The 26,439-nt window shown below is 52.6% G+C and overlaps 2 protein-coding genes across 9 annotated transcripts in view, besides 4 other annotated features; one reads left to right on the top strand and one right to left on the bottom strand.

Annotated features, from left to right (window-relative positions):
* Positions 1-5,060, top strand: part of HMGXB3 (HMG-box containing 3) — a 52,390-nt gene extending 47,330 nt beyond the window's left edge. For both annotated transcript variants that reach the window (NM_014983.3, NM_001366501.2), the window contains 3 exons: positions 501-617; positions 2,184-2,393; positions 3,657-5,060. In NM_014983.3, the coding sequence (NP_055798.3) occupies positions 501-617; positions 2,184-2,393; positions 3,657-4,124 (795 nt within the window). In that variant the 3' untranslated portion in view covers positions 4,125-5,060. The remainder of the gene's footprint in view (positions 1-500; positions 618-2,183; positions 2,394-3,656) is intronic.
* Positions 5,227-26,439, bottom strand: part of CSF1R (colony stimulating factor 1 receptor) — a 60,071-nt gene continuing 38,858 nt past the window's right edge. For 5 of the 7 annotated variants that reach the window (NM_001375321.1, NM_005211.4, NM_001375320.1 and 2 more), the window contains 16 exons: positions 25,233-25,425; positions 22,388-22,503; positions 22,114-22,234; positions 21,805-21,995; positions 20,147-20,262; positions 13,655-13,781; positions 13,423-13,527; positions 12,794-12,904; positions 11,632-11,794; positions 9,436-9,524; positions 9,219-9,316; positions 8,151-8,273; positions 7,958-8,069; positions 7,169-7,268; positions 6,254-6,362; positions 5,227-6,156 (listed from right to left, as the gene is read on the bottom strand). In NM_001375321.1, coding sequence (NP_001362250.1) covers positions 6,001-6,156; positions 6,254-6,362; positions 7,169-7,268; positions 7,958-8,069; positions 8,151-8,273; positions 9,219-9,316; positions 9,436-9,524; positions 11,632-11,794; positions 12,794-12,904; positions 13,423-13,527; positions 13,655-13,781; positions 20,147-20,262; positions 21,805-21,995; positions 22,114-22,234; positions 22,388-22,503; positions 25,233-25,425 — 2,030 coding nt within the window. In that variant the 3' untranslated portion in view covers positions 5,227-6,000. The remainder of the gene's footprint in view (positions 6,157-6,253; positions 6,363-7,168; positions 7,269-7,957; positions 8,070-8,150; positions 8,274-9,218; positions 9,317-9,435; positions 9,525-11,631; positions 11,795-12,793; positions 12,905-13,422; positions 13,528-13,654; positions 13,782-20,146; positions 20,263-21,804; positions 21,996-22,113; positions 22,235-22,387; positions 22,504-25,232; positions 25,426-26,439) is intronic. The other 2 variants (NR_164679.1, NR_109969.2) reach the window with 1 other exon arrangement.
* Positions 11,543-11,745: a silencer, noted in NCBI's record as "fragment chr5:149439174-149439376 (GRCh37/hg19 assembly coordinates)". NCBI's record gives its function as "represses an EF-1alpha promoter that drives an FKBP-Casp9 reporter gene in an ReSE screen in K562 erythroleukemia cells {active_cell/tissue: K562}" and the evidence as "EXISTENCE:reporter gene assay evidence [ECO:0000049][PMID:32094911]".
* Positions 16,767-16,942: a silencer, noted in NCBI's record as "fragment chr5:149444398-149444573 (GRCh37/hg19 assembly coordinates)". NCBI's record gives its function as "represses an EF-1alpha promoter that drives an FKBP-Casp9 reporter gene in an ReSE screen in HepG2 liver carcinoma cells {active_cell/tissue: HepG2}" and the evidence as "EXISTENCE:reporter gene assay evidence [ECO:0000049][PMID:32094911]".
* Positions 18,893-18,942: an enhancer, noted in NCBI's record as "active region_23397". NCBI's record gives its function as "activates an Ori minimal core promoter by ATAC-STARR-seq in GM12878 lymphoblastoid cells {active_cell/tissue: GM12878}" and the evidence as "EXISTENCE:reporter gene assay evidence [ECO:0000049][PMID:35858748]".
* Positions 19,869-20,579: an enhancer, noted in NCBI's record as "H3K4me1 hESC enhancer chr5:149447500-149448210 (GRCh37/hg19 assembly coordinates)". NCBI's record gives its function as "activates a minimal SCP1, AML or CMV promoter by ChIP-STARR-seq in primed H9 embryonic stem cells {active_cell/tissue: H9 hESC(primed)}" and the evidence as "EXISTENCE:reporter gene assay evidence [ECO:0000049][PMID:30033119]".

Raw genomic sequence — 26,439 nt, forward strand, 5'->3', positions numbered from 1 at the left:
GAAATAACCAAAATACTAACCTTGTGAGATTGTTGTAAGGAATGCACTTTACACAGTGTCTGGTTACTACCTATGCAAGCTCTTAGAAAATGCCTACTGTTACATAGTGTATGTGTCTATGTGTTTTATTCATACATTATTTACTTTCCCTTTCATATTTCTGTGCTGTTGAAAATGTTATGCTTCCTTCAAGATCAGATTCAAATGTTAGCTCCCCTTTGATGGTTTCTTTGCCCTGTAAAAAGTGAAAGGACTCAGGCCTCAGAGTCTGGCAGCTTGATCAGCAGTCTGGCTGGCTTTGTCTGTGACCTAATCCTTTCAGGGCCTCCGATTGCTTACCTGTACCTAGAGGAGGTTGGGCTGATGAGGCTCCAAGGCCCGCTCTGACCCAGGCAGTTTATTCTTTTGCTTTGGGTGTTGGGTGAGTGTGTGATGCTGAGCACCAGCCGTGGTCCCTTAGCATTCGCCCTTATGTTTTTAATCTTGTCCTTCTACTCCAGGACCAGCTCTGCTTCTCCTTGTTGGCCCTCTACGAATCTGTACAGAATGGAGCTAGAGCTATACGGCCCCCACGTCACTTCACAGGTGGTAAAATCTACAAGGTGTGCCCCCATCAGGTAAGAAAATAACTAGGGGGAGCTTGGAGTGAATTTGCTAATGTTGAACTTCCCATACAGGGACTGATCCAGCTCAGTTTTGGGGGGCTAGACTTAGGTCACTGGGCAACCTCCGGCATAGCTGCCCACGGGTCAGGTGCTACCCCCTGGGCTAGGGAGGGAGGCTGGGTCTTCTGTCAGTATTTTTTAAGCACCCTACCACATCCTGGGCATCAGCTGTTGAGGGTATAAGGGCGAGCTTGTATAAAGAATGACAAAGATGTCGTTCCTCCCTAGTTGACCGTATATTTTAGTGGGGAAATAAAGTCACCACAGCTTGTGGCATTGGCTCTGAAGAAATTAGATAAGGGCCTAAGATAGAAAGTAACAGGGAGGAACCTGCTGTCTGAGGTGGCAGAGAAGACTGAGACCTGCAGGATAGGGAGGAGCCCATTGGTAAGCCAGGGAAGGAGTGTCACAGCCAAGGGACCACCAAGGCCGTGAGTGGGGAGACAGAGTGAGCTGAGAGGAGGGGGTGTTGGAGGGCTCCCCCGGGGGGCCAGATCACATAGAGCTCTCTAGGCCAGAGTAACAGTTCGTATTTTATTCTGACTGATGAGGGACCTTTTGGATGGTTTTGAATGGGAAATCTGTGGAAGGGTATGGACAAGGTGGCACTGGGTTAGCTCCAGGACAGGTTATGTACTAGATGACAGAGTGGGCCCAGGTAGATCTTGGAACGGAAACCCCCCCCCTTAACAGGTACTGAATGGGAGAGAGGTGGCTTATCAGAGCCTTCACTGAAGCACATGAGTCAGCAGGGGGATCTAGCTGTAAAAAGAGAATCCAGTTCCCAACTACTTTAACAGAAGCTGTGTCTGAAGGAGATGCTTAATGCTTCTACTCTGGGCAGATCAGAGCCTGCTCAGGGAATTGTGTTCATGCGACAGGGGATCATCTCATGAGAAGCAGCTGACAGCACGGGGAGAGCTGTAGATCTTGGGGGCTGTGATGGGAGTGGCATCACTTGGAGGTGACAGCCAAGTGGGTGTACCCAGAGTTGTGGAATGGTGCTTGGGGGGCCCTGTCAGTGGAGGTGTTTACTAGGCTACATTGTGGATTCCCATCTGGGCAACAAGCCCACTGGGGTCTGGTGGGGAGCTTGCTCAAAATACAGATGCTTAGACCCTACTTCAGAGACCTTAGTTTCTTAGGTTTGACCTCGGGCCCAGGCATCTCCATTCTTAACCAGCTCTTAGCTGCTGCTGCTGCTATGTAGCTAGCATAGTGAACTGGTAGGTGATGTGGAGAGAGTGGGGTTTTGAAAGATGTTCTGAGGTGCCTTTCAGCCTAAGTTGAGGACAGGATGCTCCCAGCTGTCTCTCAGAAGGGCAAGGATGAGCTGGTGACTTCATTTAAGGACAGAAGTAGGAAGGGAGCAGCATGCCATGGGCTCTGGCAGGATGGCCATGGCTTCGGCCCTGAAGCTGATTGCTCATCTTCCTGGGAAGAAGCGAGTGAGAACTGTACACTCTCTGCAGACTGGCTTCCTAATTAACCCTGCGCCCCCCACCCTTCATCTCCCAGGTGGTCTGCGGCTCCAAGTATCTTGTGCGAGGTGAGAGTGCCCGTGACCATGTGGACCTGCTTGCCTCTTCCCGCCACTGGCCGCCTGTCTATGTGGTAGATATGGCCACGTCAGTGGCCCTGTGTGCTGACCTCTGCTACCCAGAGCTGACTAACCAGATGTGGGGGAGGAACCAGGGCTGTTTCTCTAGCCCCACAGAGCCACCTGTGGTGAGTCACCTCCTGAGGAACTGCCATGTCTCCTCAAGCCTACCATGTCTTGCTCTGTCACCCAGGCTGGAGTGCAGTGGTGTTATCTCGGCTCACTGCAACCTCTGCCTCCCAGGTTCAAGCAGTTCTCGTGCCTCAGCCTCCCGAGTAGCTGGGATTACAGGCACACACCACCACACCTGGCTAATTTTTGTGTTTTAGTAGAGATGGGGTTTGGCCATTTTGCCCAGGCCGTTCTCAAACTCCTGGGCTCAAGCAATCCACATGCCTCAGCCTGTCAAAGTGCTGGGATTACAGGCATGAGCCACCACGCCCAGCCTACTCCGTAAGTTTTTACTGACCAAGCCCTCTGTTTGAGGCCACAGTATATCACTTAGTGTGCCCAGGATATCCCAAACCTTGTGTTAAAAGAGGTTGCCTTCCAGAGAAGCCTAGAAAGTTGCCACCTTTGAGAGTTATTGTGCACACTGACATATTAAAGGCCCCAGCCAGCCCTGGATTAGTTTAATTCACCATGTCTTACATTTAGTTGACCATGGATAACACTGTATGGCATGCCTGTTGTGATCTGAAGATACACTGGTTTAGAAAACACTCATCTTATCCAACCCTCTCCTTTTATTAAAAGGGGAAGCTAAGGCCCAGAGGAGGAAATGGACTTTTCCGGGTCCCACAGCAGATTAGTGGCAGAGCCCTTGTCTCTGTGTCTTGGTATATTGTACCAGACAGTATTTCTCACCAGTCATGTACCCTCCAAGGCCAGCAGGCCAGCCTTTGGCCTTTGCTGAAATAGATGTCAGAACTGATAATTAGGAAGAAGGGAAGAATAACAAAGGTTGAGTGCCCCAGCCAGGATGCATTATAGGAAGTGAAGGCCTCTGGCTTTGCCTTGGAGGAGTCATTATTGTCATTACTCCCTGGGGCTCACTGGCTCCATGAGCATGCTGGGGACTCCAGAAAAGTGTCTTAACCTCAGTCAGAGCCTGATCTTTCTGCTCCCCTGCAGCCACTGGCCTGAATGGACCGGGGGCAATAATAGCATAAGTAATCCAACATCTGTTCTGGAAGGTGGCCACTGTTACTGTCCCTGTTCTCACATGAGGAAATGGAGGCACTGGCGGGCAGGGGTTGGCCTAGGAGACACAGTACATGGTGATGTTAGGATTCAAAGAGGGCTGGCTGAGCCTAGAGTGTTCTCGTCACCAGATGGGTTCCACCTTAGTCATTCCTTCTTATCAAAATGCATTCTCATTTCTCTTCTAGAGTGTGTCCTGCCCAGAGCTCTTGGACCAGCATTATACTGTGGACATGACAGAAACTGAGCACTCTATCCAGCACCCAGTCACCAAGACTGCCACGCGGCGCATCGTCCATGCAGGCCTACAGCCCAATCCTGGTGACCCCAGTGCTGGGCACCACTCCTTGGCCCTGTGCCCTGAATTGGCACCTTACGCAACCATCCTGGCCTCCATCGTGGACAGCAAACCAAACGGTGTCCGCCAGCGGCCCATTGCCTTCGACAATGCCACTCACTATTACCTCTACAACCGCCTCATGGACTTCCTCACCAGCCGCGAAATTGTCAATCGTCAGATCCATGACATTGTACAGAGCTGCCAGCCTGGTGAGGTGGTCATTCGTGACACCCTCTACCGCCTTGGGGTTGCTCAGATCAAGACAGAGACAGAGGAGGAGGGTGAGGAAGAGGAGGTGGCCGCAGTGGCAGAATAAGCCAGGCTGTTGTACAGGGACTACACCATCTCTCAAGCCATAGTAAGGCCCTTGCCTGAGGCAGAGCTATCCAGGGGACCTGCAGAAGTGGTCTCCTGTGGGGAGGGCCTCTGACTGCTGGGACTGACCAAAGAGCTTCCATTCCCTGAGCATGGTGGGACCCAGGGTCCTCAGTTCTCAACCCTCCAGGGGTCAGGAGTGGTACCAGGAAACCTCTTCTGGCCCCGAGAGAGCACTTGGGGGACACGGTATGTTTAATGGAGGGGAGGCTGAGGGAAAGGCTCGTAGCTGGTGGGTTCCGTGGGGCCTGCGGTGTGGGTCAGGGTGGAGGTCCTGGGTGGGCTAAGGCGTGAGCCCCAGCACTAGGTGGGAAGGCTGCTGAGGTCTCTCCCACCCCTGAGGAGCCCTGGTTTCAGCCCCCTCAGTCTGATGAATTGCTTAGCCTGTTGCCTTTGACTAGGGGCCTGGGTGGCCTCATTAACTCTAGGGGTCCCTTTGGGCTCTTGATTCTCCCTGAAGGAGGGATGCATTTCTCTCTTGCTCTTCCTGTACCCACATTTGGGGGAAGCTGAGGAGGGAGGAACAGTCAGCCACAGCTCTCTTCCAGCACTGTCCTCTCCACCCCAAGCTTTGAGGAAGAGCATCCCCTTCCTCCTTTCCCTGGCCACTGCTGCTGCAGCCAATATCCTCTCTGGGCCTGGGACCCTCTCCACAGAGGGGATGTGGTCCCTGGTCATGACATAACCTAGCAGCAGTAGGAAAAACTCCCTTCTATGAAGGGGAAGCAGACTGGGCCATAAGGAAACAGCAGGACTGGCTCAAGTGCCCAAGGTTTGTTTAGGGCCTGGGAATTGGCCATGTGTTAATTTATTGAGTGGAGTAGGTGGCTTTTTTTCCCTCCCTCTTCCCCCAACAAGAATAAAGTTTATTAAATTATCTGGTTTTGGTGTAGCAGGAGTCAATTCCGTGCACATCGTATGGGGCACAGTGTGGTCAAGCTCCACAGCTGTGAGCTCGTCACTTCATGTGAAGGAGGGAAGGAAAGAAAGACGTTCCAGGGAATTTGCAGGTACTCATGTGGCACAAAGAACCAGAGGCTGACTGCATTAATGCTGTTAGTTTAATGTGGACAGAGACATCCCACGGCGTGACTGTTAGTTAGGATGAGTCAGCTTGGGGGAGTTTGTGCTTCCTGCTTGGTGTGGCCAGCCACATGCCAAGGTCCCCTGCCTTCTAGCCCAGAATGACGGGACTGGGCAGAACACCCCCAACTTTTAGCTGCCACTTGGCTCATTACAGCAGTACCAGTATGGGGGTGGGAGGGGTGAGGCTGTGGAGTGAAGGCGGCGTATAGGGCAGAGACTAAGAGGTCCTGTGAGATTCTTAGAGGAGCCATCCTGCTCCAAGGGGCCTGAGCTGAGTGTGGTCTGTGAGCATCTGCTGCTCCTCTCAGAGAGGGAGATCTCACTCTCTGCCAGTCTGTCTAGCCCCAAAGAGCCTGGTTTTCTCAGTATCAGTGTAGCTCCTGGGGACTTCATAGGCATAAAGTCAGTCCATTTCCATGAAGATAAGGGGATTAGGAAAGAAGGTTCTACTAGTTGGCATAGCAAACACGAGGCCAACACCATGAGAACAGTAGGGGAGGGGGGGGTGAGGGCTCAGCCCCCAGCCCCTGACTGGCAGTGATGGCCCATGCTCAGGAAGTGGGATCCTCTGACCTCCCCTGAATCCCTCACCTTCCCAAGTTTCAGAGCTGGGCCGAGCTGTTGAGTGAAATGACCGAAGGCAGAGTTTGTATGTTCTCCCCGTGTCGCCCCATCCATGGAGGAGTTGAAGTTTGTGGGAGGGGAGAGTGGTACTCCCTGTCGTCAACTCCTCAGCAGAACTGATAGTTGTTGGGCTGCAGCAAGGGCTGGGCGATATCCCCTTGCTCGCAGCAGGTCAGGTGCTCACTAGAGCTCTCCTCCTCCAGCTCACTGCTGCTGCTGCCGCTGCCACCGCTTCTGCTGCTGCTCGGCAGATTGGTATAGTCCTGAGGGTGGGAGGGACCAGAAACTGTCAGTCCAGATCCATCAGGCCCAGCCCAACGTGCTTTACCGGCCACCCACCCCAAGCCTCACCCCACTCACCCGCTCTCTCCTGTCCTCTTGGGCCTGCTCCTGAAGGAAGGAGCAGATCTGCTGGAAGGTGGGTCTGTGGGTGGGCTCCAAGGCCCAGCAGGCCTGCATGATGCTGTATCTGGGAGATAGGACAGAGGATGCCCATGGGCAGCTCCCTAGGGTCCAGGGGCCATTAACACACACCCCTAGAGAGACCTACCCAGCAGAGGTCCCCAAACCCAGTCAAAGTAAGTTTAGTATAAAACCTATGCCAAGTCCTTGGCATGCTTTACCATTTAATCCTCACAGTAACCCTTGCAGAAGGGTACTCTCATCACCCTCATTCTGACAGATGAGGCCATTTTGGTATCCTCAGGGTAACTGTAATAACGATCTCTTAAAAGTCTGTTTAGGGACAGGTGCAGTGGCTCATTCCTGTAATCCCAACACTTTGGGAGGTTGATGCAGGAGGATTGCATAAGGCCAGGAGTTCCAGACCAGCCTGGACAACATAGTGAGATCCCATCTCTACTAAAAAATTTTTTAAAAATAGCTGGGCTTGGTGGTGCACACCTGTAGTCCCAGCTGTTTGGGAGGCTGAGGCCAAAGGATTGCTTGAGCCCTGAAGATTGAGGCTGCAGTGAGCTATGATTGCACACATCACTGCGCTCCAGCCCGGGCTACAGAGCAAGATGCTGTCTCAAAAAAAAAAAAAAAAAAAAAGGAAAAGTGGTCGGTTAGGACCAGCCCTAGTGAACAGCTGCTTCTCTGAGAACATCCCCCATAGCTTGAACTCAAAAGGGGCTTGTTGTGTCCACTATGGGAGAGATAAAGTCTGACCCTGGAACATTTTGGACAGGGAAAGATCAGGGCCACACGGCCTTCCATCCCTTTCCAGCGAAAGCCTGGGGTGTCCTTTTCCCTCCCTGGGATCCCTTCGCTTACATATTCTTTGGGGCAAATGCAGGCTGGGCCATTTGGTATCCATCCTTCACCAGTTTATAGAACTTGCTGTTCACCAGGATGCCAGGGTAGGGATTCAGCCCTGCAAAGGCCAAGATCAGGTAAGAGGCCATGCCCATTGTCTTCTCCCCATTCCCGCACACCCACACACATCTTAGACTGGGTTTAAAGGGTCCCACTTGACAACACTGCAACAGCAGCTACTCTTACCCGGTGCTTCCTGTGTGCCAGCCAGTGTGTGGCAGGCTTAGGCTTTAGGAAGGTGTGAGCCTCTATCCAGGCCTTATCACACCAAACATTCTTGCACAGGCTTTGGAATCAGACCAAAGCTTCAGCTGTGTATCGTTAAAGTGTGGACAGTCAGGTGGTTATGAGGGTATAGGAGCAGCGTATTTAAGAACTGAGTACAAGTCCTTGTGCCTAGTCCTCGGGAAATAGCAGTTCTTTCTACTAGAGCCTAGTAGTAGAGAGCTGCATCTTCAAGGGTCTGTAGATTTCAGACAAAGGAGGGAAACAGTGACAAAGGAGGGTAACAGGTAACAGCAACTGAGCAGAGACAAACGAGGGAAGAGCCAGAAAGGAGCGCCTGTCAGGGGCAGAGGGTCTGCCGAGTCCCGCAGGAGCCACGATGCTGGGTTTCGAGAGCCCTTGCCCATTCCTGCACTCTCACCAACCCTCGCTGTGTCCTGGGCACCAAACAGCTTTGTCCACCAGTGGGGCAACCAGAGGAGCCAGCCCCAGGCTCTGCCTGGAGTGGGCCCAGTGGCTCACCAAGTGAGAAGATCTCCCAGAGGAGGATGCCATAGGACCAGACGTCGCTCTGAACCGTGTAGACACAGTCAAAGATGCTCTCTGGGGCCATCCACTTCACAGGCAGGCGGGCCTGGGATGACAGTCCCCAGTTATTTTGGGCCCCGACTCTTCACCCCCTCCCCAGCCTGGCCCAAGCCCTCCCAGCACTTACATTGCCCTTGACAATGTAGTTGGAGTCATTCATGATGTCCCTAGCCAGCCCGAAGTCCCCAATCTTGGCCACATGACCATTGGTCAACAGCACGTTACGCGCTGCCACGTCCCGGTGGATGCACTGAGGGAAAGCACTGCAGGGTTAGTCTTGGGCCTTCTCCTACCTGAGCCTGAGGTGAGGAGGATGGCAGGGAGGGCCCCACATGGCTTTGGAGTCCCTGCTGGAGTGAACAACAGTTTTGGTCCTTTACCACAAACCCTTGTCTATACCTTCTACCAGGGCCCAGGATCTGAGAATGTGTATCGTGATCTGATCATTTAATGCTTAGAAACCCCCATTACCCTGAGCAGCCATGGCCCTTCTCACCCTTTGTCCTCTGACTGGTCTGCTCAGGCCCCAGAAGCGAAGGGCTTCCGTGCAGAGAGCAGTCTCCAAACCCTACCGTTACTTCTGATCATAGCAGCTGCTATCTGCCAGGCCCTTCCCTAAACTCTGCACACATTGAACCCTTTTTCTTTTCAACAATCGTTATGCCCATTTTTATAGGTGTAGAAACTGAGGCACAGAATTTAAATAGTTGCTTAAAGTCACGGAGCAGGTGGCAGAGCCAACAATCAAACCACTGACTCCCGAATCTGTTCTAAGGAAGATGGCAAGAGCTCCCATTCCCTGGCACTTCTTCCTAGGCCGAGCGCACTTTATACGTTATCTAATATCCCCAAAATTCTGAGGAAGCTTCCGTTATCATCCCCACCAGACCGCGTGCTTTATGAGCAGAGACAACTGTTGTCTCTCATACACTATTTAGTAAAAACGAATGAAGAAAGCCTGGTACCCTTCCTCATCTTCACGCTGGGGACACAGGTGCCCAGCCCCAGAGCTCCAGCCCTGGGCACAGCTTTCTCCCACTCATCCTTGCAGCTGCTGCCCAAATGACTCTCTCATACTCTGTCTCCTCCCCTACCCCCTCACAGGCTCCCGTTTCCTCCTCCCCATCGTCACTCATCCAGCCTCCCCGGAGCACAGACCTGGGTGGCTATGAGCCAGGGCCAGGTTCCTACTCACATTCTTGGAAGCGAGGAAGGCCATGCCCTGGGCTACTTGGCTGGAGAAGTGAAGCAGGTCCCGGAGCTCCAGGGGCCGTCCATCCTCCTTGTCCAGGTCTAGGGTGGGAAGAGGCGTCAGGGCAGCCCTGCCACACTCCCCACCCCTCACCCCAGCAGCCCCTTCTCCTTTTCCCTTGTTATCAAGCAAATGGGGCCTGGCCCTGGGACCTCCTCACCTTGCTCAGAGAAGGAGTCATTTGAAGAAGTGGAGACAGGCCTCATCTCCACATAGGTGTCCACACCCTGGCTGGAGAAGCCACTGTCCCTACATAGGAGAGAGGGTTGGGGGGCAGAGGTCACTCATCATCACTGCACTGCTCAGCTCAGGCCTTGACCACCCACCACCCCATGGTCAACTGGAACCTCCCTTTCTGATAAGAAACCCTCCTGCCACACTCCATCTGAGTGAGCATTGGTCTCTGCTCGGCTGTCCCCGGTGAGGGAGCTTACAACCCATTCTGGTTTTGGGCAGCTCTGCCTGTGAGAAAGTTCTTCACTGTTCCTAATGCCAATCTACCCCTGAGATTTTCCTCCTAGCCCCTGCTCTACCCTCAAGGGCCACAGAGAAGTTGGAGTCCTCTTCCCCATAACAGCCCTACTAGAATTGGGGCATATTCTAGGGCCCCTTGTGCCCTCTCTTCTCTGGACAGTGCCTCACACCCCTGGCTTCACATTAAAATCACTTCGGGAGCTTTTAGGATCAGGCTAATTACTAATACTTCAGAAACTCTAGGGACAAAACAGTCATTCACAGATTTAAATCTCCCCAGGTGATCACAAAGTACAGCCTAAGCTGAGGCCCACTGGTCTAGAGCAGTGCTGCTTACGCTGCAACTCATGTGCAGATAAATCACCCCGGGAATCTCTGCAATGCAGATTTTGAATCAGCAGGCCTGGGTGGATGGGCCTGAGGTGGTGCACTTCCAACAGTCCTCAAGAGATGCCTATGAGAGCACACTTGGGGTAGAGAATTTGAGAAGCACTACTGTAGACTGAAGCACTACTGCTCCTAACGTTCCAGCCAGATAGGATTTCTCTCTCCCTCCTGTCCCCTCTGCGCTAGAGATGTGTACCTTGACAATGTCCATATTCTAGTGTTCCCAGAAGGAGAAACCGAAAAAACCTTCCGCTCCCTTGTAGAAACTATGCTTCCGTTAACAGCCTGGAATCCTTTGACAGAGTTGGTTTACAGGCCATTTGCCCTCGAAATTACCCACTCTGGGAATACTTTCCCCATCTGCGTATTTGAAGATGGAAGCTAATACTTTCCTTTGGTGCTCATTTTGATCTGATCTTCAGAGGCCTAGTGTGTGCCACCCTCATAGAAGTGTCAGGGAATCAGAAGAGGAAGTGATGCTGCCAGGCCCCCATTTTTAAGGCCCTGGGTGAAGAGATGGCCTCCTTCTCTTTTGCCTCCCCAGGCGTGGCAGCTGACAGTATCTAGGATGAGGGCGCAGTGTACACCCTTCTTGTTCTGATCCTGTCCTGACCCCACAAGCCCCTGAGACAGAGACCTCCAGGACAGCAGTGTGGCTTGGGTGACTCCTGGACTGGAAGTCAAGAGAGCAGGATTCTAGTCCAGGCTCCACCTCTAACCCTGACTCATGTGTGACATGAATCTCCCCACTTCCTCTCTTTGGTTCCCCATGTGGCTCTGTCTGTTGGATGGCTCTGTTCTGGATGGCTTCCAGGAATCACAGCAACAGGACAACAGAGCCATCTCTCTTTTTTTTTGAGACGGAGTTTCATTCTTGTTGCCCAGGCTGGAGTGCAATGGTGTGATCTCAGCTCACAGCAACCTCTGCCTCCTGGGTTCAAGCAATTCTCCCGCCTCAGCCTCCCGAGTAGCTGGGATTATAGGCATGCGCCACCACGCCCGGCTAATTTTGTATATTTAATAGAGACGGGGTTTCACCTTGTTGGTAAGGCTGGTCTCGAACTCCCATCCTCAGGTGATCTGCCCGCCTCAGCCTCCCAAAGTGCTGGGATTACAGGCATGAGCCACTGCACCCGGCCACATCTGCCCATCTCTTACTAGGGCTCCAGGCACAGATCTTGGTTGATCTTTTACACACACTGGGTGGTGATTTCATTGATGCATATCTCCACCAGATTATGAGCTGCCCATCTTTGCCCTCCACACTCCCAGAACACGGTAGGTGTTCAAATATTTGTTGAATGAAGGGGAAAAGGAGTAGAGAAACAAGAGATGGCCATAAAACCTGTGGTGGCTACTTCCCATGACACAGGTGGCAGGTGAGGGCTGCATAGCCACCCATTCATGAGCCATCCAACCCTGAGCTGGCTTTGAAGACAGACTCGGATCCTGCCTCCCAGACCTGGCCTTTTTCTTGTCCTTTGCCAGGGGCTACCTGCGGACATATTTCTTCTCGAGGTGGATGTTCTTATAGTCGACGCCTCCCTCGGGGTCCTGGCCGGGGCTCAGGCTGGGTCCCAGCATGGCCTCAGCCTTCCTTCGCAGAAAGTTGAGCAGGTCGCCATAGCAACAGTACTCCGTGATGACCAGTACAGGGCCTAGAGCAGCCAAGGGTGTGGGGTGAGGGAGGTGCTGAGTGCTCCCCTCCATGAACAGGAGCATGAGACTGGGGGCAGTGAGGCCACTGGACTTGGACTCAGCATAGCTGAGTTCTAACCTCGGCTCTGTGAGCAAGTTTCCTTGTGCCTCAGTAGTTCCATTTGTTTAAAACAGATGGCTTTGGCGGGGCACGGTGGCTCATGCCTGTAATCTCAGCACTTTGGGAGGCCAAGGTGGGTGGATCACGAGGTCAGGAGATCGAGACCATCCTGGCTAACATGGTGAAACCCCATCTCTACAAAAATACAAAAAAATCAGCCGGGCATGGTGGCATGTGCCTGTAGTTCCAACTACTCAGGAGGTTGAGGCAGGAGAATTGCTTGAACCTGGGAGGCAGAGGTTGCAGTGAGCCGAGATCGCACCACTGCACTCCAGCCTGGGTGACAGAGTGAGGCTCCGTCTCAAGAAAAAAAAAACAAAAAATGAAAAAAAAAAGACAACCTTAAAAAAAATGTAGCCCAAGAATTATTTCTTCAAAGGAAAGCTATGGCGGCTCACTGTAGGTCAGAGCTGCTATCAGTGAAGAGGATGTGGGGCACTTGGAGTCCCAGCAAAGCCCGGGGCACCTTTGGGGGCCCTGGGGAGAGTGTCCAAGCATCCTTGAATGGAAGCTTCATAAGAGGTAGGCGGGGGGCTTCACTCCAGACCCAGAGGATCCGGCTCCCTGGAAGCAGGGCCTAGGAGCTTGCACATTCATCTCCTCCTCCAAGGGCTCCGATGCTCCCTATCAGTCTCTCTTTATACCTCAAGCTGCCCGTGCAGCTCCTGACTATTCCAGGAGATGGGCCCAGGAGTTTAAGGGATGCTGTGACCGGGATCCCCCTGACACTTGGAGCAGTAGGATCCTGAGAAGGAGAAGACGGAACAAGGTAGCCCTGGGGCCCTGAGATTCCCCAGAGGCCCCAAGACCTTGGCCCCAGGAACCCCAAGGCCCTTACCTCCATGGGTACAGGCTCCCAGAAGGTTGACGATGTTCTCGTGCTGGCCCAGGTGGCTCATGATCTTCAGCTCGGACATGAGGGCCTCCTTCTCATCAGCATGGGCCGTGGCTGGGAGGAAGAACCACAGTCCCAAAGACAGGGAGAGGGCAGGACAGAGAGCACCACACAGATACATGGGGACCAAATGCAGAGACCCAGGGGAGAAAGCAGGGCATACCCCAAGACCCGGAGTGACCAGAAGCCAAAAGAAGGAGAAGGAAAAATGCAGACACACAGATGGCAGAGAGAGAGAGAGGAGGGATGAGCCTGTCACTGAGCTGGTCTTCAGGTGACAGGAAGCCAAACTGTGGCCAGGCCATGGCCATAGGTGGCCTTTCTGCACCCCCAGACTTTTTGGAGCTCAGTCAGGAGCCCCTTCACAACTAAAGGGTGACCTAGACCTTCTTGGAGCCGGGAGTCAGAGGGTGCCTGGAGCTCACAAGAAAACCCAAGTCCTCACCCCTGAGCTCTGTCCCCCAGGCTTCAACAGGTTGAAATGTGTGTGATGCCTCTTGTGACACCAGGGCCAGCCCACCCCCAGCATCTACCACCCCCCATCCCTTCCCTCATCCCCTCCCCTCACTCACACTTCAGCATCTTCACAGCCACCTTCAGGACAGCATCCTCCTTGCCCAGACCAAAGGCCGTGGCCTCCACCACCTTCCCAAAGGCTCCAGCTCCGAGGGTCTTACCTGCCACGCACACAGGTCCCTTAAGTCCCTGGGCACCAAAGGGCCTCTGTCCAAGGGCCCATGGGCTCCCTGCAACCCCCACAGGCCCTGTGATAGGAAGCTGTGGAGTGATGAGCTGCCATCTCACCAAACTGCAGGTTGTTCCGGGGGAACTCCCACTTCTCGTTGTAAGGCAGCTGCGTGGGGTCGATGAAAGTATAACTGTTGCCCTCATAGCTCTCGATGATCTTCCAGCGGACCTGGTACTTGGGCTTCTGCAGAAGAGGAAGGGAGCACGTGGCAGTCGGGGCTGGCAGGCAGTTCCTGGACCTTGTTTCTGACCCCCAAGAGCAGGGGTGTGGGCAGTCCCAAGGCGCCCAGTGGGAGAAGGCAGGGCAAGGCCTGCTCTGGGCTGAGAGAGGTCGTCTCATGAACATAGCACTGAGAGCATGTTCCTGCTTGACTCTGCCTTGTTGTGTGACCTTCCCTTCTCCAAGCCTGTTTCACTATTTGTGTATTGAAGACCTTGGACAAGACAACCTCTGAGGGCCCTGATATCTCTGATAATCTGGTAATTCCTGAGCCAGGAGGGAGGGTGGAACTTGAGATCTTATCCATCCGTTCATCTGTCCATCCATCTACCCATCCATCCACCCACCCAACCTCCCATCCAAATATATATATATATTTTAATTGTGATAAAACATACATGAAATTTACCATTTCAACCATTTTTAAGTGTATGGTTCAGTAGTATTAAGTAAATTACATTCTACCTTGTGCAACCAGTTTCCAGAGCTCTTTTCATCTTGCAAAACTGAAATTCTGTTCCTGTTAAAAAGCAACTCCCCTTTCCCTCCTCCAGCCCCTGGCAACCATGATTCTGCTGTCTCTGTGAATTGCACTGCTCTAGGCACTGCACCTCAGTGGACTCACACAGCATGTGTCTATTGAGATTGCCTTATTTCACCCAGCATAATGTCTTCAAGGTTCATTCATGCTGCAGCACAGGTCAGAATTCCCTTCCTTTTTAAGGCTGAATAATAGTAGCCCATCCACATACTTTCTTGAACATCTATTTGTGTCAGGCACCGCTGATTCAGAGTTGAACAGGACAAAGTCCCTGCCCCTCCATGGAGTTTGCATTCTAGTGGCTGAGAGAGGCATTAAACGCAAATAAACATGTATCTAGGAGATTCTCAAGTGGTGCTATGAAGAAAATAAAGTAAGATAAGTCAGGGAAGGCCCCTAAAGAGCCCACCATGTGACCATCAGAGGAAGAATTTTCCAGGAACAGTGCATGGAAATGCTGTATGCTTGACATGGGAATGATCCTGGCAAGTTTGAGCTATAGGAAGGCAGCCATCATGGCTTGAGGGAAGTGGGGGGCAGATTCCAGAAACAGGAAGGCCTTGAGGGCTATGATAAGGTGAGTGGGTTCCCTTTTGGGATTTTTTTTTTTCCAAGACAGGATCTCTGTCCCCCAGACTGGCATGCAGTGGGGGCAGTCTTGGCTCACTACAGCCTCGACCCCCGAGGTTCAAGCAATCCTCCCACCTCAGTCTCCCAAGCAGCCGGGACTACAAGCATGTGGCACCACACCTGGCTAATTTTTGTAGAGACGGGGCTTTGTCGCAGCCTAGGCTGGTCTTGAACTCGTGAGCTCAAGCAGTTTGCCTGCCTCGGTCTCTCAAAGTGCTGGGATTACAGGCATGAGCTACCATGCCTGGCCGGGCAGTGAGAGACCCTGAGAGTTTGACACAGGTGAGTCGCCATCTGACTTTTTTTTTTTGAGACAGAGTCTTGCTCCTTCACTCATGCCGGAGTGCAGTGGCACGATCATAGCTCACTAGGCTCAAACTCCTGGGCTCAAGCAATCCTTCTGCCTTGGCCTCTCAAAGTGCTGGGATTATAGGCGTGAGCCATCGCACCCAGCCTTGACTTTACCTTTTTGAGAGAGAAAGAGAGACGCTGCCCACTAGATAGATTCTGGAGGACCAGCACCTTTGGAAAGACCTGATTTCCTTCCTTAGGCTCTCCATGCTGTTACCACCCAGCCAGGGGAGGCAAGCCCTGGGATGTGGGGAGGAGGAATGGCTGCCCCTGTTTCTTGCCCAGGGGTCAGCTGCTGAGGGGGAGTACCATGCTAAGGGTTGCCCACAAGAAATGCTGATGGAAGACCAAGTTGAGGGGGAAAGTGGAAGCTGGGCTGGGGCGGTGGAGGACACTGAGGCCCTGGGTCAGCAGAGCAACTCTTTCCGGCCAGGCCTTGGGGATGGGACAAGCTTGGCTGTGCCTGCAGCTGGGCTCCTTCCCTGGGCACCCGAGCTAGAAACTTAAAGGAAGTGTGGACCGGTGCTAGGGAGGAGGCTGGCCTTTAGCTGCAAGTCCTGGTTGAGAGAGAAGATTCCAGTCATGTCCTTTGCAGCAACGTGGTGCAGCTGAAGGCCATTATCCTAAGCAAATTAACACCGAAACAGAAAACCTACATACCGCATGTTCTCACTTATAAGTGGGAGCTAAATATTGAGTGTGCATGGGCATAAAGATGGCACCAACAGACACTGGGGGCTACTAGAGCAGGGAGGGTGGAAGCGGGCGAGGGTTGAAAAACTATGGGAGCTATGCTCAGTAGCAGGTGATGGGATCCATATTCCAAAGCTCAGCATCACGAAACATACGCATGCAACAAACCTGTACGTCTATCCCCTGAATCAAAAATAAAATGTGGACATTTTTAAAGAGAGAGACAGGGAGAAAGCTTCCAGCTAACCATCAGGAAGAACTTCTAGCTGGTAGTTAGAGAGAAAAGACTGCAATTAGAAATGAGAAGGAACTAACTTCCAGGCTCTGATTCGGAAGGGCGGACTGCAGGTGAACTTCAGAGCCTCTGCGTTATAGCTTGGGAGAGAGTCTGAAACGGGACCCAGGGAGAAGAACTTCCCAAGCCTCTGAGGATCCAAATCCTGCCCGTGGGTGCCTTCCCAGCCCAAAAGACAGCAACAAGGCAAGGAGGGGATTCTTCAGCCTCTCCTGGCCACTTCCATCTCTAGGAGCCTCTGTGGCTAAGACTGTTTTTTCTTACCACTTCTTGTTCCTCTGTCCCTCTGCAGCTGGGCTGAGTCAGCCCCTCCCTGCCCCCAGCTGGGCAGGGGGCACTGTTGAAAGGGAGGGGATCAAGGAGGATGGAGGTTTGGCTGGATTCTCAGATTTCTGAATCCTAGGCTCCTAATTTCTGGAAGCGGACCAAGCTGCCTTCTGCCTGCCTCAGGAACCCTCCCCTGCCCCTGCTGGGCATGTAAACCTCCCAGGGCACCTGTGCCATCCCTGGAAAGGGCTCATGGGCGTCTACCCAGAGGCAGCCTCTCTTCCAAAGAACTATGAGTGAGAGATCAAGAGGTGGGGATGGGCGAGGCTCCCTGAGAAGGGTGGACGTAATTGTCATGATGGCAGCGGGTTCTTCCTGAGCTCTTCCTGGGAGTGGGGCGCTGGGCTAGATGCTTGAAGCACATCACCCCATTCATTCCTTGCAATGGGCCTAAGCCCCAGGCCCACCCCCTGACTTCTTCCCTTCCTCCCATCCTCCCCACCAAAGGGGGCATGGAGACAAAGTCCCGGTCCCCTCCCCATCTAGGCCTGCTGGTTCTGGGTGAGTGGATGTTCTCCATCCCAGGAAGGTGGAGATCTGAACAATTCCCAGTGGAATCTTTGGGGACCCTCCTGTTGCTCCTCAGAGCTCAGTTCCAGCCCCCAGAATCGTAGTCTTTCCAGCAGCCTCCCTGGACCCTCCCTTCCCTGCTGCCTCAGCCATTTCCCTGTGCGCCTCCTCCTCCAGGGGAGCCTGCTGACTCCTGCCCTTTTCTCTTCCCCCACGGCCCCCCTTGTGGTCACTCTGGGGGACAGAAAGGTGATGATTCAGCCCTGAGGCAGAACAAACACTCCCCACAGACAGGCCACTTCTTTCCCCAGGCCTGGGCAATGAGGAGAGGCTGGGCTGAGTCCCCAGTGAAGGGGCAAGGCTCCGAACCTCATGGGGCAAGGCAGAGGAGGATGGGAGGGCAGGCACTTAGCACGGGCATGACCATCCTGCCCCCTCCGCTCCCATGGGTGGACACCTCGGCCTGGAGCTAAAGGGTCTGTGAATGGGTGTAGGGGAGGAGGGTAGCTGCAAGTCTTCTCGCAGCCTTGCATGGGCTCCAGGGGCAGCTGAATTTCCTGGACAGGAAGTGTGGAGGTGACATGTTCCAAAAATGGTCCCGTGGAGAGGGGATACAGAGTTCCTAAACCACAGCCAAGGGGGCTGGCCAGCCCAAGGCAGAAAGGGCCGCAGGGGGCCCTAGGCTCTTCTCTGGAATCTCTGCATGACTGTCCTGGCAGCTCTGTGGGCACTGCGAGGCAGTTTTCAGTTCCATGTAAGGAAGAACTTTGCAAACATTGGAGCTGCTCAGAGAAGGAACAGGTGGCCCCGAGAGTGAGTAAGGTCCTGTCCCTGGAGGTGGGTGGGCTGGGCCAAACAACCGCTTTGGGTGTGTAGTCAAGGAGATGATGCCCGACCTCAGACCTCCCCCTCCTTCCACCATCCCAAGAGGCATGAGCTAACTCTGGTTCCCCAACGAACTTCCTCCTGGGACAAGAGTGTGCAGCTCCCATCACAGAGACTGTCTCGTCCAGCACCCCGCTCAGTCCTCTATGTGCGTTGTGGTACGGAATCCCTCACAACAGGCTGTTAATGATCCCATTTTACAAATGGAGAAGAGACTCAGACACACCAACTTTCTCATCATCCCATAGCCAGAGCTTGGCAGAGGCAGGATTTGGACCCAGATTCACTGAAGTCCAAGTTTCTGGTGCTTAAACTAGACCACCAGTGGGCTCTTGGCATGTCAGAGGAGGAGGGGCTGTTAGAGAACACCCAGACCCATGGTATAAGAGGGGAAACTAAGGCCCAGAGAGGACAGCGAGTCAGCTGAGGTTACATGGCAAAACAGTGTCAGAGCTGGACCTAGATCCGGAGGTATTGACCGGGGCTGCCCTCAGAGCAGCCTTCTCATGCTGAGTGCTGGCAGGAGTAGAGATCCCGATCCATGTGCCCCTGGGGCTCCCCCAACATCCTTCCCACCCTGCCCACTTCAAGCCCTCTTCTCACAAAAGCCCCAAGGGGGTGTGGGGAAGAAAAGGTAGCCAAGGGGACACAAGATGGGTCATTCAGTCCTTGATCACACCACTCCCTTGTTCAAACCCACTGATGGCCTTGGACCGACAGGGTGGGGTCCAACCCTTCAGACCCCCAACCCCACCCTGGTCCTTCCCTCACCTGCACCTCTGCACACTCTGCCCTCTCCCCCAGAGGTACCCTTTCCCTTAGTGTCATCTCCCCTGCTGCATCCTCATCCTCCAAAGCCCGTCCCACCAATGCCAAGCCACCTCCTCCAGGCAGTCTCCCTTACCCACCAGCCTGAAAAGTCCGTCCACCTCTGAACTCCCACAGCCCTCTGGCCTGGTCCTCTCAGCTTCTGATCACATTGCACATGGTCTTTGTGTGGGCAGGCAGGCAGTGGAGGCCATGGGCTCTAGGGACAGAAGCCCCTGGGGCCCAGTGCCAACCCTATCCCTCAGCCCCTTGGGGTTTTTTTTTTTAACCTTGCTGAGCCTCAGCTTCCTGATGGGTAAGATACTGACTAGTATACTTCCTGCCTCCAGCTTCTTGTGAGGGTAAAATAAGATGAGTCAATGTTTCACATAATGATTGGGACATGCTTTGGAGTGAGTCCTCCTTCAGGGTTAAAAACCAGACTCTGCCTTTGACCAGCTGTAGACAAGGGCAACTGTCCCAACCTCTCAGAACCTCAGTTTACAACTCTGTAAAACAGACTAATGCTAGCTGCATACAGTGGTTGCTGAGGGCATTAAATGAGATGATGTAGGTAACATGCTATAGAAAAATGCCCCTCAAATCACTGTCATATACTGAGCAGACAGTGACAGGAAGCACACTATACGCAACATGCACTAAATTGTGGCTTTGGCTAATAGGACAGTAACATGAAATAATGAAGAGGATGATGGTCACAGGCCCTCGTCTTCACTAGACCATGTGCTTCTTAGGGCAGGGCTCAGGCCTGGCCCAGGGGACACCACGCTTGTATATCCATTTCCTCTGCCCCGTGCTGGGTGCCAGGACACCCCTGGGCTGAGACAGGATCCCAGGGCTGCGCTGCCTCAGAATGCCATTCCTCTCCTCATAGCCTCTCACTCTATAATCCATGCTCTTGCTTTCACGGCTTTTTGTTTGTTTTTTGAGCTGGGATCTGGCTGTATCACCCAGGCTGGTCCCTAACTCCTGGCCTCAAGCAATCCCCCTGCCTCAACCTCCCAAGTAGCTGGGATTACAGGTGTGCCCTTGCTTTAATGGCTATTTGATTAGCACCTGTCTCTCGCACTAGACAGTAAACGCTATTAGGGCAGAGCCTCAGAGGCCACCCAGCAGCTGACTCATGTTGGCATACAGTAGGCACCCACTAAAGAGCTGTTAGCTGATGGACTGACTGAGGAGGAGGAAGGGTGAATCCATGCAGCCTGGGGGTACCATCCAAATCTGGCTCACTCAGGCACCTGGCAGCCCCACTCCGCTCCGGCTCACCTGCTTATACTTGTACAATAGCAGCAGGAGCAGCAGCAGCAGCAAGGCCATGATGGACATGCAGGCGACCACCACTGGTGTGAAGAGGAACTCATCCGGGGGATGCGTGTGGGCTCCTGGAAGGCATGAAGCAAAGCAGTGAGCAGGCAGGGGTGCCTCCGAGCCCCCTGAGGTCAGGCCTGCACACTGCCTGGAACACAGTGGGTGCTCAATAAATGCTTGTTGACTGAATGAAGCATCCTCCACTGGAAGCCTCTGGAGCCTCTCCTGCACACCCTCCCCGAGAAAGGCAGAGAGGACGGCCTCTTCAGCTCTGCTCATGCCCAGCCCCAAACCCTGTCCAGAGTCACAGCCTCCTGTGGCTGGGGGTAGGGAGCCTCTGGGGTCATGCAGTCTCACCCTCTGCCAGTGCAAGAAACCTCTCTGCAGCGGCCTGGCCTGGTGCCCAGCCATGGCTTGCATGCACTACACCTCCAGGAAGCTCGTTCAGAAAGGCCTTCTGGAGGTCACACTGCAACCTTCCTCTCCTGCATTTCCCCTGCAGCTTCTCCACATGCCTTTGGAATCATACAGCCCTTCTGAGGGTCTAGCAAGCCAGGCTTGTGGCCCCTGAGTCTCCTCTTCCCAGAATCTATACTACTAGTTCTAGTGATGTTTTGGAGAACATAATTTCCACTTCCTTGCTCAGATCAGTAACTTAGATCTGCAGTCAAGTTTCACCTGTGCCACTTGGGAGCTGTGTGACATTGAGCCTAGGGAAAATTCTATTTATTTCCTAGGTTTGTAGGAGTTAATCGAGATAATCCCCACAAAGAGCTTAACACAGTGCCTGGCGCAGCAGAAGCCTTCAACAAAATGTTGGCTTTATTATAATATACAACCTCCAGCAGTGAGGCCCAGCGCGGCCGCAGGCTCCTGCTTGCAGCTGGACCCTGGTAGCAGTTGCTCCAAGGCCAGCAGCTGGGGACGTGAGTGACCACCCCTGAGCCAGGCAGATGCCAGGGTCTGGCACACAGTGGGTGCCAGAGCCTGGTTGTCAAAAGCCTGAGGATGCTGTGGGCCTCTGAGAATCACAGAACTAGCTGGTAAGGAGCCTTTGTGTAAAGCAGAGAGGCAGCCTGTGTTGTGCACAGGGCCGGGCATCATCCCCCGGGGCAGCCTCTTGCACAGCAACCTCAAATGGATAGACTGTGTCTGGAGCAAGAGGGGAGAGTTGGAGAAGGCCGTCCTTAGCTGGCCCCGAGCTGGAGATGGACTGTTTCCTTGCTCATTGCCTGCCTCCCTCATCAGCCTCTGAGCTCTGGGGAGGCACTGCTTCCCTGCATAGGGCACGTCCCTGGCACACGGTGCATAATGCCTGCACATACTTGTGAATAGATGCATGAGTTAGAGTGCAGGGACAAGAGTGGGGGCCAGTTTCTTCAGGCTGCTTTCTCTCTGCTTTCTCAGAGACTACCCCGTCCTACTGCTTCGGGGGACCTGCCAGGCAGGAGGGGCTTGGACTGGCCCAGAGAGGTGGACCTTGGTACTGCTAGGATCTGCTCCAAAGGTGGAGCCAACCCCAGCTCCCTCGGTGGGGGGTGGGGGAGGAGCCGCCTAAAGGAGCAGGGGCGGGGGGCGGGCGGGGGGGCGGTGCGGGTGCGAAGGCTCCCTCTCACCTGCAGAGATGGGTATGAAGGCCCAGGAGCCACTCCCCACGCTGTTGTGGGCCCTGCACTCGTAGGTTTGGTTGTGCTCTAAGGTCTCAACAGTCAGCAGGCTCTGCACCGTCACCTTGTGGAAGGGCTCCTGGCTCAGGACCTCAGGGTATGGGTCATCCCAGACCTGCAGCACTTGGGCCTCATCACACCTGGCAAAAGCAGAATGTGGCTCAGAGCTTCAGGGTTCCCAGCGCCAGCATGTCCCTCCCACTCACAGGGTGCCCAGCCCCTGAGCCCAGGTGAGGGAGGTGAGTGGAGCCCACTTACCTATCAGTGTGGCCACTGCACTGCAGCCATGTCACGTTGGGCTGGGGGTACCCAGAGGCAGCACACAAAAGGGTGCCAGAGCCGTTGATGAATGTCCATATGACGCTTACCTCTGGGGGGTCTGAGGAAGAAAGGAGGAGGCCCCAAGTCACACTTTCCCCGCCACCTCCCAATCTCCCAGTACCTACTTCCCTGTGCCCTGCCCCAGTCAACCCCATCCCTCCAGGCAGTCCCAGGGCCTCCGCCCCAGGTGGCGCTCGGCCCCAGCACTCACATCGAAGGGTGAGCTCAAACGTCAGAGCTCTCCAGCCTCCTGGGTTTCTGGCCAGGAAGGAGTAGCGGCCAGCCTCAGAGGGCTTCAGGCGGGGCAGAGAGAGGGTGAAGGTGTGCCTGCAGGAGAGAATCAGGTGGTGTTGGTGAGCCCCAGCCTAGTATGGCCCCTGCCAGGATTGCAGTCAGATAACAGCCTTAAAGGGGTTTATTTTATTTTTGGTAAAATATTCAGGGCCCAACGGCCTTGGGTAAGCCAGATACTCAGACAGGGTGCCATTGAGACATGCAAAAACCACCAATCCCATTTCCTTAGTTGGTTTTCTTATCTGAAAGTGTTTTTTTCCCGAGGTTTAATAGAGGTGATGTCTTCAAGGTGCTGGGAGGCCTATCACAGGTCGCCTACGTTGACCACTGTCACTGGACTAAGCTTTCATGAAAGCTGCAATCCCTGCTACAAATCCCTGAAGTGCCAACCTTGCCAAGAGGGACTGAGAAAGAGACAAGAGGCAGGATGTAGGGCCCTGGGTTCTGAGCCATGTTGCTGCAGAGACTGGGGTTCAAGTCCTGGTGCTGCTGTTTCTTGGCTGTGTGATCTTAGACAAGTACTTAACCTCTCTGATCCCTCACTTCCTTTGCTGTGAGAGTGATATCGATGGTTATTAATTCACAGGCTTGGCTTGAGGATTAAAGGACCTTTTTAGGGTGCTTGACACAGAAGTTGAATCTTTGTGGGCACTCAATTCAATGGTACCCTTTATTACAGAAAAGGCCCTGGAGCAAAAACTAACAATAAAAATCATCTTTGGCTGATTCTGGGAAATTTTTTGTTTTATTCTTTCTTTAATCTCTATTTTACAATTTGTCCATAATGAACATGTGTTGTTTAGGTAATAAATACATTTTTTAAAAAGTCCCCCAGTTCACTGTCAAAATAAATAAAATTTTAAAAATTATAGCAAATGGCCAGTTCTTGCTTGGGAAATGTCTGCAGCTACTACTAGACTAAAATCTATGGTATTCAGAGAGCAGTCTCATCCAGCCAGACCCTGGGCATATACAAGGCCTCTGCCCAGGTCACTTCTTGAGATAACTAACCCCTTTAACTAAAAATAATTTGACTTTTTTGGATAATTGAAAGTCACCATTATGAACAACCCATCACATGAACTAAAATTCTGTGGCTGTTTGGTGTCCAGGCTTGTCTGCCTTGTGCTGAATGGGCCCAGACTACTGTGTTTTAGGGGATCTCGTGTTCCTTTCCTCAATGTCTCTGTGGCTTATGGACCCATTAAACCGATCCATGGACCAGCCCCCTCCAAAGGGCCTACACATTCCAGATTCAGAACTTCTGCTTTAAATGAGAGGAAGACAGAGACCTGGCCAGAAAGGACCAGAAGGGAACTGAGAGGAGGAAGATGAGGACAAGAAAACATCCTTGTTGCTTCTGACAATTGACAAGCAAGATTGTGGGAATCAATGAGGTTTGGGCTTCCAGAGCTAGAACGAGAATCCCAAAGAGTTTTGAAGTTGTCTAAGGGATCCACACAGGGATGACAAACAGATCTCTCATGAGCCAACTATGCTGGAAATACTGCCTGGGACCTGTGTTGAGGAGGACTCTGAGGCCGCATCTACACTCTGCAGAACAGAGTTGCAGAAACAAGAATGAGAGTGAGTGTGGCATGCACACCACGTATTCGCTGCCCTTAAGCTGTACTGTCTCCCTCTGAAAGGGCAGGGTATGAATGATTATTTCAGGCCAGGCACGATGGCTCACACCTGTAATCCTAGCACCTTGGGAGGCCGAGGCAGGCAGATCACCTGAGGTCAGGAGTTCGAGACCAGCCTGGCCAACATGGTGAAACTCTGTCTCTACTAAAAATACAAAAATTAGCTGGGTGTGGTGGTGGGCATCTGTAATCCCAGCTACTCGGGAGGCTGAGGCAGGAGAATCACTTGAACCCGGGAGGCCGAGTTTGCAGTGAGCCGAGATTGTGCCATTGCACTCCAGCAACAAGAGCAAAACTCCATCTAAAAAAAATAATAAAAAGAAAGAAAAGAAGGAACTATTTTAATACCTGAGTTAATACCTGATATACCTGGTATGAGTGTTCCTCTTAGGCACAAAGCTTTCTTATTTAGAACCTACCTGCTTAAGCCACTTTGGATGAGAAAGCAAGACCCCAAGAACACAGTTCACAAGCAGACAGGAAAAAGATTTCTAAAATGTGTGTGGAATACACAGGATTGTGGGAGTGGAGAGACGGAAGAAGAGGGGTGTGGAGTTATTATAGATTGCACTTCATGGGAAGAGTTTTGAGCTTACAGAGAAGAGCAGCCAGTGAGAAATTCTTGGGGCTGGGTGATCACAATCCTTTAAAGAACATTTCATGTATCTGTGATTGTGTGATCTTAATTCCCTCTTCCCCTCCCTCCAAGCTTTTGTATGTAGCAGATAACTTGTGCAGTCATTATCAGGAGTGTGTCTATGAGTGGGGCTGTTTTCTGCATTTGGATTGGCCCCAAGAGAGGAAAATGAATGAGGCTGAGGGTTCTTGAGGGACCAATGAGAATGCACACTCCCAAGAAATGGTAGAATCCTTGGGTGGGGCATTGACTATCCCAAGGATGTGGGATGGAGAGGTAGGTCAATTTCATCTAGATCTCAAACACAGATGACCAATATTGGGATTCCATGAAGTCAGGGAAAGCGAAGCCCAGAAAGGGGCAGGGACTTGCTCAAGGTCATACACCAAGGTTGGGACATGAGCCAAGCGTCCTGATGCTTGCTGAAGCATACCCCATCTGGTTGTCGGGCTGTGTAGACGGGAGCTGATAAGTGGTACCTGTATGTGTCCTTGGTGGTAGCATTAGCAAGCTTGGGCTCAGGCTGGTGGTCAGAAAAGGGTCCCAGGTAGGTCCAGTTAAAACCTTGCAGGCCTGGGTAGGCCTCCACCATGACTTTGAGGTTGAGCCCCTCCCCCACGGTCACCTCCTGGATGAGGTTCTGCTCAGAGCTCAAGTTCAAGTAGGCACTCTCTGGAAAGCAGAACACACAAGCATCTGGCATTAGTGGGAAGATGTCCTTGTTTATTTGTCCATTTTGTCATCCACCCATTGATCCAGTCCCTGAGCAGCTATGTCACAGGTACATAGTCCCCACCACCCAAGACAGGTCCTCTGACACCCCTCTTCTCACCACCCCCTTCAGAATCCCTGGATCAAAACTTTTCTCACTGAAGCCCTAGGAGAACCTGGGCAAATCCCTATCCCCATTTGTGCCTCCATCTCCTTATTTGTGTAATGAAGAGATTGAATATATCTGTGATTTTCCAAGTTTTTGAAAAATTTTTGGCAGCAAGAAAACACACACACACATACACACACAATTTCACGTGTCCTCATCCATTTCCCTTTCTTCTGGTCATAAATTAGTCAATGCGGCTTCCAAATATAGCTCTGGAGTAGGTGTGTAACCCAGGCCAACCAGTGAGGGTACTCTGTCCCCTCTGGCCCGGTGATTGGTTTGGGTTACCATGAATCCATGAGTCCATAACACTCAATTCCATGATTTTTGTTAAGACTCTGGGAAAAGAGAAGCCCTCATTTTACTGGTGTTGCTGGATCAGATACTACAAGGCGGATAGTCGGAGTCCTACAAGGGGAAAGCCTTCCTGGCAGGGCTGAGAGTTGGGGAGTCATAGATTCTTTCCAGCATCAGCTGAACACCTGGATCCAAGTGTTCCTGAAGCTGATATCCATGAGCTTTTTAGCTATAAGGAAAAAAATCCTTTTAATTAGGCCAGTTTGAGTTGGTTTCTATTACTTGTATCTGAAAGAGTCCTGACTAGTTTTTTTTTTTTTTTTTTTTGAAACAGAGTCTTGCTCTGTCATCCAGGCTGGAGTGCAGTGGCACAGTCTCTGCTCACTGCAACCTCCGCCTCCCAGGTTCAAGCGATTCTCCGGCCTCAGCCTCCCGAGTAGCTGGGACAACAGTTGCATGCCACCACGCCCAGCTACTAACTAGTTTCTCCTAATGACATTTTGCACAGA

Source organism: Homo sapiens, chromosome 5 (assembly GCF_000001405.40).
Source record: "Homo sapiens chromosome 5, GRCh38.p14 Primary Assembly".
NCBI lineage: Eukaryota > Metazoa > Chordata > Mammalia > Primates > Hominidae > Homo > Homo sapiens.